We start from the raw sequence: 12,828 nt of genomic DNA, 5'->3' as shown, positions 1-12,828 counted from the left end.
TGGCTTTCCCACCTGCTGACTTAGGATTTAACTTTCTAGGTTCTGCTAAGTCAGTTACCACTTGTCCATATGCTTTCCAGGGTTGTTTGTGTTCTCTTTTATTTCTTGTGTCCTAGTGATTTAGGATCTTTAAAAGACCTCTTTATATTCATTTTGATGTGGTTTCAGAAGGGGCTCAGAGGCTAATGTATGTGTTCAACCCACCATCATTAACCAGATATCCTGAAATTTGATTCTTAAAAAAGTGATTCAAATTAATAGTCAAGAAAAATATAAGTTTTCATATGAGGTATTCTAGTAGTAATTTATTATCATACTATATTGGCCAACATGCTACAGATTCAGAGAGACAAATGATGTAATAAAAAAGTAAACTTTAGTTTCAATAAAATAGAATTCTATTATTTTTTAGAAGAAGTTCTTTGTCTATATAAATCATCTCTTTAAACACAAACTTTAGTATCCAGTTAAAGTGGGCAATAAAAGACATCAGGCATGACAGAGTCTGTATGCTTTTATACAAGGACCAGACAAATATCTAATTATATGAAACTGTAGCTCAATTCTGCTGTAATAAAAGTAAACCATAGTCAATGATGGCCCAGTAAACTATAGAAAGCAGAGGTCAGCCAACAAACGTAAAAGTTCAATGTCCCTATTACTTTAAGTATGACTAACAGTGATTAAAATAGGAATTACATGATCATTGATTCCCAAGTGTCTTTTCTAATGTATTAAGACACAGGACAGCTTGAGATAGCAGATTTAATTTAAACAAGTAAACCAATGGTTTACTCGTTCATTTATTGCCTTCAATCACTTCCACAGCTGGTGCGAACATTTGTTAAGTTTTAAATGAACAGAAGCCAAAGTGTGTTGCAGTAATTAACTTATGAAAGCAATTAATGTAAGCAACATATGCATGCACATTATCACGCAGTAGTGCATATGGTTAATTAAAGTTTAACATAAATTAGATCTATTTAACCTTATTTCAAGGACCATTTGAGCGGTTTTTTTTTTTTTTTTTTTTGGTAAAATGTCCATATGTCTTAACTCAGGTGATTAACTTCATCATGTTAATGACCTCAAAAAATTAGCTAAATCCTCTTGGTTTATTACTTAGTTAACAGCAAACATGGCACAAATGGTCTGTTTGTTTTCAACATGATTTAGAAAGCCAAGACTGGCTAAAATGCACAAAAGCCAAATGAAGGATCAGTCTTTCTGGAATTAAGAGGTATGTTTTACATTTAAAGAAAAACTTCCTTTGAAGTTTTAAGATAATAAGACATAGTTGCTCCTTTCAGATGAACTTGCTTTTAAAAAATATTTAATACGTTAGTGGATATCTTTTTCTCTAGGTTTATTTATGAAATCCTTCACAATGAATTAACAATGTGGCAAATATGTGTTAAGCTCCTACTCCACATAAGGAACACTGTTCAGCTCTATGATGAGACAAAGGCAGACTTTTTTTTTTATTAAATATGACCTCTGCAAAGATGACTTAAGAAAGCTTAAAAAATGGTCATTCATAAAGTGGGACAAACACTAAACAATAACATCAAATGTAAGAAAAGGAGGAGAGCACAAATAGTTACCAGTTACTAGGAATGAGCATCAAATCTTACACTAAGCTTCCTGACAGTTATGGAATAAAGAAAAGTTAAATTATGTAAGTTTCATCTAAACAAAAAATGAATAAAATGCAGTCCTTGTTCTTGATATTTCCTGTCATAAGACTGTGTTTAATATTAACAAATATCTACCTAATGGGCTTTTTGATATTCTTTATTAATTTCATCAACAATTATATCTAACAAATTGTATACGTTTTAAATTATCCTGGGTAAAATGAGCATTTTTCATGTTCTGGATTTTGCATGTTCTTATCTTGGACCATTTTCTTCTATCCAATAGTTTAATAAAACTTCTGGTTCAAACTAGAGTACTTTATGTACTCCATTGTACTTTATGTACTTTATGTACATTGTACTTTATATACTCCATTGTACTTTATGTACTTTATGTATTCCATTGGCACAACTGCAAGCTTATAAATTGACAATTTTGCAGTTTAAAGCCACATGAAACACATGAAGTTGGTTCTGCAATTCCAAAGACAAGGTTCTTAATTAATATATTTAGGATTTTAATGGATAAGAGACTGTGCCAGATATTTCCATGTGCCCAGACAACTGAGAGTGCACTTTTTGGCAGTCACTTTATGTGCCTGTGGGAGGTTTAGGGAGTGGGCAGTTCATTGTCCATTTGGTCTTATTCCACCGAACTTTAATTTTTTTCTGTTGGTTAACTGACAAGCTTTCAACTCCTCTCTTCATCCACATCAACATGGCATTCAATCAGTAGTCACTTTCAGATCAATCCTACAAATATAAAAGGGATCTTAGTTTCAGTACCACATTTTACAAATCAAACTTCTTAATGCATTGAGAAATTAAAGGACTGGTTTATGGTTTTACAGCTAGTTATGAGGAACCTCTGTTATGGGTCAGCATTTATGAGGTTAGGATTTTAAAATATGGTTTATAGGACTGATTAATTATATAATCATAGTGATCTCTCTATACTTCTATACGCATGACTTAAGGAATTGGAGCTAGCCTTAGGATGCTTTGTGAGTCTTTAAATACAGGGACCAAGTCTTACTTATCTTTATATCTCTAACACCCAGCAGAGTGCCTGGCACAGAATGTTTAATAAATCCTGGGTGGTTGAGTGAAGAATTAATGAATAAAAAATAAAGAGCTTATGGGCACCTGCAGAGTAGAGAACTGTGCTAGGTATATTAGCATTTATTCTAATGTCTAATTTCCATAGGAATTAGACTAAGAATTACTTTTCCTCATAGATATACATAGAGACATATTAGAGTCTACTCCATACCTATATCTATATCTCTGTCTACTTCTATCTATCTATGTAGCTAGCTAGCTAGAGATTTGTTTTTCTAAAATAAGGCTTATTTAAAGAAAGAAAAGAAAATTTCCCATGCTACCACAGATCCAAAATCTATGGGGCCTTCTGCTTACAATCTCCCATACTAAAAGTAATTTAAGTGAATTTTCTTTAAAAATTTATAGAGAGGAGGTAGTTAAAAGACTAATAGAAAATTATTTAACTCTAAGATCATTCCTATGAAGAAAGGATTTTAGTACAAATGTAACCCAGGTAGCAATTATGAAACACATTGTAAGGAATCCACAAGATTCCTTAGAGTTTTGGCAAAGAGTCCTTCCAACTGCACATAGTTCCTACATCACTGGGCATATTTTAGTACCCTTGTTTTTCTAAATTCAAAGAGTACTCAATAAAATATCTGTCTAGTATAACTGTCTAAAAGCAAAGTCATATTACTGATTTAGCCAGTTAAATTAAGAGTAACAGAAAGCAAGAAGTTCAGATCTGTTTTGTACCTAAGGACCTGCCCCATGTTAAAGAGATGAACATGAAAACACGGGTTTCTTCTCAGGTAACCTCACCTGTCTGCTTTTAATAGAGACAACACTTTTGTTGCTTAAAGAGTTCTCAAGCAGTACACATTTCTTAGCATGTAATTTTTCTATTTTCCCTCCTTTTCATGTATTTATTCTCCAGACTAAGTTTTTCAAGGATCACATGTTTTTCTTCCTGTAATGTGCAGAAGGTGTTAGGTATAGGAATGGGAACCAATGTTTCTTGAATACCTGTTATGACCAGGAACAGTGTCTAGAGATCTGTGAGTCCAGAATTATCTATCTTTTGCGAAAACAAGTGAAAAAAAAATTTGTATTGGTCACCTATAAATGACTGCAAATTTATACCAATATGCTTAATTAAAACAATATAGACTGGTAAATTCAATAGAATCGTAGAAAATTCAATTAATGGAAGCAATAAAGTATGTAATGTTAAAGAAAAATACAGAGTATGGTTGAGCTGGTATTCATATTACTTATATCATGATCTTTAAATAGTTTATTTTCCAACAGTAGGAAGTTAGATTTTCTTATCTACTTGACCCATTTTCTCATTTCTCTAGATTGATGTGATTCTGTTGTGAGACACTGAATTTATTTAAAATTCTTATTGTGTTTGTCTCATTGTCACCTAGATTAGGCTAAAAGCTGTTGTTTGTAGAAATCTCTAGGATCTCTAAGTCATAGGAGAACACATGACAAAAACAATTCATCACAAAATAAGAGATGACTTGCTTCTCCGATTTGTAGTATAAACAAATCAAACAGTTTTCCAAAGTGAGATATGAACAAGTCATATTTTCTGAAAAAAATTTGAAGCTTGTCATAGTTGAAATATTTGAGAATCTCAGTGGGACTTAGTCCAAGGATATTTGCCACAAATTAAAACTACAGAATTCGGGTTGTAAAACTTTTAGCATTTCCACATGGCTAATAAAGAATCACTAAGTACTACTGAAACACCTATAAATCCTCCCCCTCATGCCCCAGTGGGCCCAAAGTTAGCCAGTTTTATAAAATTTAATTCCTTGTGTCAATGTTTTGTGAGGCATTTTTATTTTTTAGATGCAGCCTCTAAGTGTTGACTCTGTCTAAACATCTATCAAGTATAAAGGATGATTTGTTGAACTTAAAAGAAGAGAAGTCACCATGGTAATGAGAAACTTGTTGGAGCACATCATTGTTCTTAGCAACTACAACTCTTATCTGAGACACCTTTCTGAGAAAAAAATCACTCAATTATTCCCTTTATTAAGAGGTGCTAATGTTTTACTGAGAGAGAATTTTCAACAGTAGGTCCATCTATTTCTGCTACATATTATCAAATAAACATAAACATTTTTATGATTTATAAATCTTAGGACGTTTTTCAGAAAATGGTTAATAGATTAAGAAAACCATGCCCTAAAATGATAAATTTTTGAGAAGAACTAATTGAACAGATTTTCAGCAAACTACAACTCTTATCTTTCCCTTAGAAATATTATATAAAGAGGATTTCAAACCTTCACAATTACAAGTTTTTCTCTTCAAATAATTAAATGAAAAATTCTAAGGAATATTAGTGTTGTTGGTAGCCCTTAGATATTGCTCATTGTCTTTTAATATAATTTGAGGCTTAGGGAGTCATTAGGTACCACTGTTTACATCACCAACTGTATGATCAGAAATAATGATCATAGTTAAAAAGTACACCAACTTCTAGAAATTATAATAAAGTGCCAGATAGAGAGAAGGGAAATGGGAAGAAATGAAGCTTTAGCAGACAATTTTCAACAGCTGTTTTCCATAAATAATGTAAGCCTGCTAGTTTTTAATGCAGTATAACTTTTCATGAGCTGATTCCTTGCAGCAGTAATACTAATTAACCTTTTAAAGTCAGTTTTGTGTCCCAAACCAATAAAATTCAGTGGGGGCAGAGCAGTTTATCACCATCTCTGGTAGTTCCTGGGATGAATGAGGGTGGACCCCTGAAGGCAAAGGGGTAAGCAAGCAGACACTCAGCCTCAGCTCTCAATCCCCCACCTCTTGACAGTTGAGGAGAACAATTCTGGATCCACCTGATGCTCAGATGCAGCCTCTTCTGGCTCTCTGCTATTTTTCTCTCATTCTTATGTCGTTTTCACAAAGGTAGATAGAGTAATCTTTATGCAACATTAAATGGACTGCATATCTAAGTTCCTAAGTGTAAAACTCTTCTGTAGCTTCTCATTACCTTTCATATAAAATGCAAAGCCTTTGTCTTGGCTTACAAAATTCTCTACAATTAATGACTGTCACCTTCAGCAGCAGCTGCCCTTTGCCCACAAGGTTCCCATTGCATCTCCCTCAGATTCCTAGAACTACTAAGCAAGCTCCTCCCTCACACAAGTTGTTCTTTCTACCCAGAACAATCCTTCACTCCTGCCTGGATGGTGCCTGCCAACCTTTAGATTTCAACAAGCCCACTTTGTTTTTTAACCCTGCTGTTGAACATATTTATTTTCTCCCAAAGCCTTTATGAGCTCTGGTTATGTATTTAATGGGTTATTGTTTTCTGTTTTGTATCCCCAGTGTATTATATACTCCTTAAGCCCAGGAACTGAGGCCATATTTCTTAGAACATGTCTAGAAGAGCAAGTGGCACATACTGGATACTCAATTAAGAAATATTTGAATGCATAAATGAATATTTGTGGATCTATTCTGATGATGTTGGCTTCTTAGGGACATTATTACAAGATGCAAAAACTAGTTGAGATATAAAGCATTTAATTAAGTGATTCAGATGCCTGGCAGCTGTTTTGACTGATTTTTATAAACATCTTTACTGAGTTGACAGATTTGGATTGAAGAGATCCATCTGTAAGCTCATCTAGATTTCCAAGGCTCCATATATATTATCTTGCCTCTGTTTCCTTCTCACTGATTTACAGGATGCTACATGAGAACATTCTTATCCAGAATGTTGGGTATACTTATTTAGACACCTTTCTGAGAAAAAAATCACTCAATTATTCCCTTTATTAAGAGGTGCTAATGTTTTACTGAGAGAGAATTTTCAACAGTAGGTCCATCTATTTCTGCTACATATTATCAAATAAACATAAACATTTTTATGATTTATAAATCTTAGGATGTTTTTCAGAAAATGGTTAATAGATTAAGAAAACCATGCCCTAAAATGATAAATTTTTGAGAAGAACTAATTGAACAGTAAAAGGATCCTCTCTTCCTTGTTTATATGAATAATTTTTTTAGGGAACAAAAGGAAAAAAAAGGAATAAGATGAGGAACAGCCAGAGGTCCCTCACTATCTCACCCTCATCACTCCTCACGTATGTGACCCAATGTCCTGGGTTTAGTACCAAAAATTCCATATCCCAAGATATCCTTCAGTTGTAGGCAAACCAAGACAGCAGTTGCTCACCCCATAAGGGAGGTCGAAGTGTTGAAGGTGTGTGTGTGGTATGCGAGTGGAAGGAGGGTGAGAGAGAAGAATACTGCATAGCTCTGGGAAGGGAAGGCAAGGGTCTTCCACCTGCGTGAGAGCTCTGAGCATGAATAGTAGATTTAAAAATAGCACATTGAGCTAATCACAGTGCCAGAGATGTGCTGTTGATGACAATAGGCTGTGGGGTCTGGAAGGACAGAGTGCCCACAACTAGGATGCGGATGGCGACCCACTTAAGAGGCGCTTTTATCTTAGTCTTCAGTGTGAGGTGACGACCTCTAAGTGGGATTTTGGTGACCCTAGTTTTCACTTTCAAATAAAATTACTGACTTGATAGTTCCAATATTAATTTCTGTTCAGAAAAATTGCTATTTCTGCTTCCTAGTTTCCTGTGATTAGTTCAGTGTGTTATTTTGAAATCTGTTCTTCAATCTCAAAAAACTAAAAAAATCTGTCATGAGTTCACATCTCAGCTGCATTGGAAATTGTTATAAAAATGATGGGTAGATCTCAAGTGAGCATGTTATGGTGTGTAATGATTAGAAGATGAACTATAAGAAAACTTGTTTTGACATTAATATTCTTTAGAAAAAGAAATCAAAATGAACAATACTATAAAAATCTCCCAAGTTGAATGTTATTCATGTAACCCATAAAGTATTAGCAAAATGTTCTCATTTAGTAAACTATGATTGAATTATTTCAATACCTTTTTTTCTGAGCTCATCTTGACCTGAAAAGGAAACCATTGTGTTAAAAAATTATCCCCTAAGACAAAAACTGTTTATGGTTCTCTTTTATTTAAATATTGTATAACTCAAATGACCCACTAGCAATAAAACAAATAAAAGTGGGCAAAAGAATAATCCTAAGTGAACTAATGCAGGAACAAAAAACCAAATACTGTGTGTTCTCACTTATAAGTGGGAGCTAAACACTGAGCACACATGAACATAAACTTGGGAACAGTAGACACTGCAGACTACTAGGGCAGGGAGAAAGGCAAATTTGGGTTGAAAAACTACCTATTGGGTACTATACTCATTACCTGTGTGCAATATACCCATGTAACAAACCTGCATATGTACCCTCTGTATCTAAAATTTAAGTTGAAATTTTAAAAACTGCAACAAATGGGCAAAGGATTAAAAAAATTTCTCAAAAGAAGACACACAAATGACTGGCAGGTATATAAAGAAAGGCTTAGCATCACTAATCATCAGGGAAATGAAAATTAAAACTGTAATGAGACATCACCTCACACCTGTTAAGATGGCTATTACCAAAAAGACAAAAGATAATTAGTACTGGTGAGGATGTGGAGAAAAGGGAGCCCATGTACACTATTGGTGGGAATGTTATTACAGCCATTATGGAAAACAGAATATTCTGTGGCTCCTCAAAAAAATAAACCTAGAATTATCGCATGATCTAGCAATTCTACTTCTATTTCTAAAGGAAATGAAATCAGTATGTGGAAGAGATATCTGCACTCTCAAGTTTACTGAAGCATTATTCACAATCATCAAGATACAGAATCAACCTAAGTGTCCATCAACAGGTAAATGGATAAAGAAATGTGTCCTGGCTGGGCGCGGTGGCTCACATCTGTAATCCCAGCACTTTGGGAGGCAGAGGCAGGTGGATTGCTTGAGGTCAGGAGTTTGAGACCAGCTTGGCCAACATGGTGGAACCCCGTCTCTACTAAAAATACAAAAATTAGCCAGGAGTGGTGGTGGGTGCCTGTAATCCCAGCTACTTGGGGGGTTGAGGCAGGAGAATCACTTCAACCCAGGAGGCTGAGGTTGCAGTGAGCCAAGATTGAGACACTGCACTCCAGCCTGGGTGACAGAGTGAGATTCCATCTCAAAAAAAAAAAAAAAAAAAGAAAAAGAAAAAGAAAGAAAGAAAGGTGTCCTATATACCCAATGAAATATTATTAAGCCTTAAAAAAGAAGGAAATCTAGTCATTTGCCAAAACATGGATGAAACTGGAGGACACTATGTTAAGTGAAATAAACCAGGCATAGAAAGCAAATACCGCATGATCTCACTTTTACATGGAATTTGAAAAATTTGAGAACATAGAAGCAGAGAGTAGAATTGTGGTTACTAGGGACTGGTGAGAGGGATATGGGGAGATGTTGGTCAGAGCATACAACATTTCAGTTAGACAGGAGGAATAAACTCAGGAGATCTATTGTGGGTAATGGTAACTATGATTAAAAACAATGTACTGCCTACTTGAAAATTACTGAGAGCAGATTTTAAATGTTCTTGCTACAAAAAAACAATATGAGGTAAAGGATATGTTAATTATCTTGATTTAGTCATTTCAAAGTGTATACATATATTAAAAATCATGTTGTAAACTGTAAGTATATACAATATTATTTCTCAATTGAAAAATAAAATTAAATAACAAAGACTGCATAAAAAGTAGAGCATTATATAACAGATAGCTAAAGCACAGACAGTAAAATAATATTCTTATCTATTGAATAATCCATGAGGATTAACTGAGTGTTTGGTATATGTTTAGAGTCCTTAGGATGTTTATACATAAAATATGTCCACAAATACGAAGTTGGTCTTACAGAACTGGGGATAGTACCTCTGATATCGTTTGAGTGAATTGCTAGTTACATACCACCAAAAGCTGTAAGTAAATGGATTTTCTTGGCTCTGTTCTCTCCCACCCACAACCTTTTTTGGAGGAACATTCATTAACTGTATCAAGAATTTCAAGTTGAGGGAGCCACATGTCTTAAATTTTTCTTTACATCCTTAACTGACAAAGTTAATATATTCAGATCATAAAGCCAAGTTGGGTTTAGGTTCAGTGATTCAGTGAGTTATGAATTACTGACACCCAGCTTTGTTTTGGTCCACTGGGAAATTTTCTGTCAAAAATGTCCACTTCAAGACTCTAGGACAAAGATTAGTCAACAAATTTAGAGTACTTATTATGAGTACTTATTAATAAATACTTACTGAGTGTCTACAAAGAACTTAAAATGGTTTAGCTGAGGCAATTATTGCAATAACCTGGTGAAGTAGATTCTCTTATTTTCCCTTCCCAATTTTACTGAGGAGGAAACTGAAGCTCAAAGAGAATCTCTCATGCAAGCAACGTCATACAACTAGTAAGTAGCAGCTCCAGAATTCAAACCCTGATACTCCTGTCTACTCCCCAAAACTCCCCAGTACACCACTATCTTGCTCTTTGCCACTCACTACATCCTTGGGCTTTCCAGAAATGCCCCTGGTCAACTATTTCTTGCTCATCTTCTACTCACGCCAAACATGCTGTTGAGCCCAATCAACCTTCACATTATTTTCTAAACTTGCCATGTGTATTCTTATTTCTGTGTCTTTCTTCATATATTTTGAACATCTGGTTCTCCTAACTATATTTCCTGCACAGTGGCCTCTAATGAAGCATTTCCTATTTATTTCTAATTGAATCTTACTGCTGTTTCCTTTCAACTCAAGCAGCATGGCTATGCTGATTTTATAACATGTATATTATTCCCCATGTTATGAGATCAATCTTAATATGGAACTTGGGGCTGCTTACTCTAACTCTTATTTTAGTCTGTCTCCTCCTCTATCCCTTCAGCCCAACTAGACAATAAGCCCCTTTCTGGCAGGGCTTTGTTTCACTATTCTTTGAGTTTACTAAGGTTAATATCATAGTGTTTTTTCATGTTTCAGGTGGTCCAATAAATGTCTGTTGAATTGAGTTTAATTAAATAGATAAGGAAGAACATTTAAGGTAATTTTTGTTCCCAATTGAACGCAACTCAAATGTACAGCCTAAGATTACATCTATTGAAGCCAGATAGGTGCTGTGGTAGCAAGCAGAACCCCTTGACTCCCTAGTTAAAGAAGATGGTTGATCCATCCACATTTTAGTGTGTGGCAAAACCACTGCACTTAGAAAATCAGACAAAATACACATATAAAAAGTATTGGCTGGTATTTAGTAAGAAAAATATTTCTAAAAGACAGACTATTAATATTATTCTGAGCAAAAATGTAGAACATAGAAAAAGAGATTGTCAGGCTTTTTCTTCACTCAAATAAATGTCAGAAAAATGTTAAAGGTTTGAGTTTCCTGATTCTGAAATAACACCTGAGTGGCAGAAGTCTTCAGAAAGAGGCTTTAATGGCCACCTATTAATAATAGAGCAAGCTATGGGGAGTATAAATGATCTGCGTAGGGTCACGGATTATCTTAGATGCGTATTCCAACACTCTGGCTCAGAATACTCTACTATTTTTAAAGGGATCAAACCATTCTTTTGGTTTACCAATAAAGAAGAGAGGTACATCTTATAACACAGATGGACAGACTGACTGGAAGTGAGGAGACAGGCAGAATCCCCCTCCCCCCTTTTTTTGATATAGTGTCCTGCTCTGTTGTCCAGGCTGGAGTGCAGTGGTGATCTTGGCTCACTGCAACCTCTGCCTCCCGGGTTCAAGTGAATCCCCTGCCTCAGCCTCCTGAGTAGCTAGAATCAGAGGCACCTGCTTGGCTAGTTTTTGTATTTTTAGTAGAGATGGGGTTTCACCATGCTGGCCAGGCTGGTCTCAAACTCCCGACCTCAGGTGATCCACCCACCTCGGCCTCCTAAAGTGCTGGAATTTCAGGCTTGAGCCACTGTGCCTGGCCCCACTATCTTATATAATGGAGGTAGAGGCAGTGCCGCTGCAAGACACTTTTGGTGAGCAGCCAGGCCCCAGCTCTGGATTGTAGTGGACAACTGCTGGGCTTAGGCTCTTGGCTCCAAGCAACAGACAAACAGACAAACTCTAAGTGGAGTAAATTACTAGTGAGCTCTTGAAGAATACATCCATCTTGGGCATGGAACGTCAGAGACAAATGACATGATTGGTCTATAACCAAAGGCAGGCTTCCTTCAACATTGGTTGATACTTCTGAAATGCAAGCCCACCCAGAACAGTTTGCCAAAATCTAGGCATCTACTTTCCTGAAGTTATATTTTTTACATTCTAATTATTATGATTAATTTTTTTTTCAGAAAGGGAGCTCAGCAGATTAACTAAGAGCATAGACTGTGAGCCAGATGTGTAGGTTTGAATCCTGGCTACACCATCTATCAACTGCTTGATTTTGGGAACTGAACTTCAGTCCTCTGTTTCCTCATCTGAAAAATACAACATATAACTATATCTAACCCATAGACTTGTTTTGAGAATAAGATGAGTGTATTACCAAAAAACATTTAGAAAAGTACCTGACATATTTGTTGTTAGCACTCAACCACTCAATAATGCTATTATTATTGTTTTTGTTTATGTGACTACTACTGCTTAAACTATACACAGCATAGGTGGCAATAGCTATGTTTTGAGGTTTCTGTCTCTCCCATGAGTTCTTTAAGAGCTGCCTTTGTCCTTACAGACTGCTGAATGAGTAGTCTAGGTGACCCTCTGATTTATTTTTTGCCTGCCCCATCTTTCCTTGGCTTCAGATGACTGGACCAGAGGCAAACACCTTGATGCAAGGCCACCTCGTCCATTGGTTGGCCATGAACGATCAAGTCATTTTGGGAAAAAGCCATCTAGAATCAGGGCCAAAGTCAGCCCTAGATCACAACAAAGTCACAAAGTCATGTGCTAACTGAAATTATGAGAACTGAAACCATCAGGAAGATGGCAGGGAAGGGGAGGGAGAGAAAGGAGAACAAAAAGAGAGAAAAGAAGACGAGAGAAGACAAGGCAAGAGGGGAGAAGAGAAGGCAACACTTCAGCTCCTGAAATTTTCTCTTTCTAGCTCTAGTCTTTGTAAATCTGGACTTCATGCAACTTTCCTTTTCAATAATTGCTGCTTGTTTACTTCAGCTTGTTTGCATGATTTTAGTTCTTTCACCCTAACATATTATA

The 12,828-nt window shown here is 35.7% G+C and overlaps 1 protein-coding gene and 1 long non-coding RNA gene across 10 annotated transcripts in view; both read right to left on the bottom strand.

The window, feature by feature from the left end:
- KCNQ5 (potassium voltage-gated channel subfamily Q member 5) overlaps positions 1-12,828 on the bottom strand; it is a 576,790-nt gene that overhangs the window by 267,241 nt on the left and 296,721 nt on the right. The window lies entirely within an intron of this gene.
- On the bottom strand, positions 286-7,782 carry LOC124901340 (uncharacterized). Its single transcript, XR_007059642.1, has 2 exons — positions 6,452-7,782; positions 286-4,697 (listed from the first exon to the last, which is right to left on the bottom strand). It is a non-coding gene; the product is annotated as an uncharacterized LOC124901340 (long non-coding RNA).

This window comes from Homo sapiens, chromosome 6, assembly GCF_000001405.40.
Source record: "Homo sapiens chromosome 6, GRCh38.p14 Primary Assembly".
Taxonomy (NCBI): Eukaryota; Metazoa; Chordata; class Mammalia; order Primates; family Hominidae; genus Homo; species Homo sapiens.
This window is presented reverse-complemented; position numbering and strand designations above follow the sequence as displayed.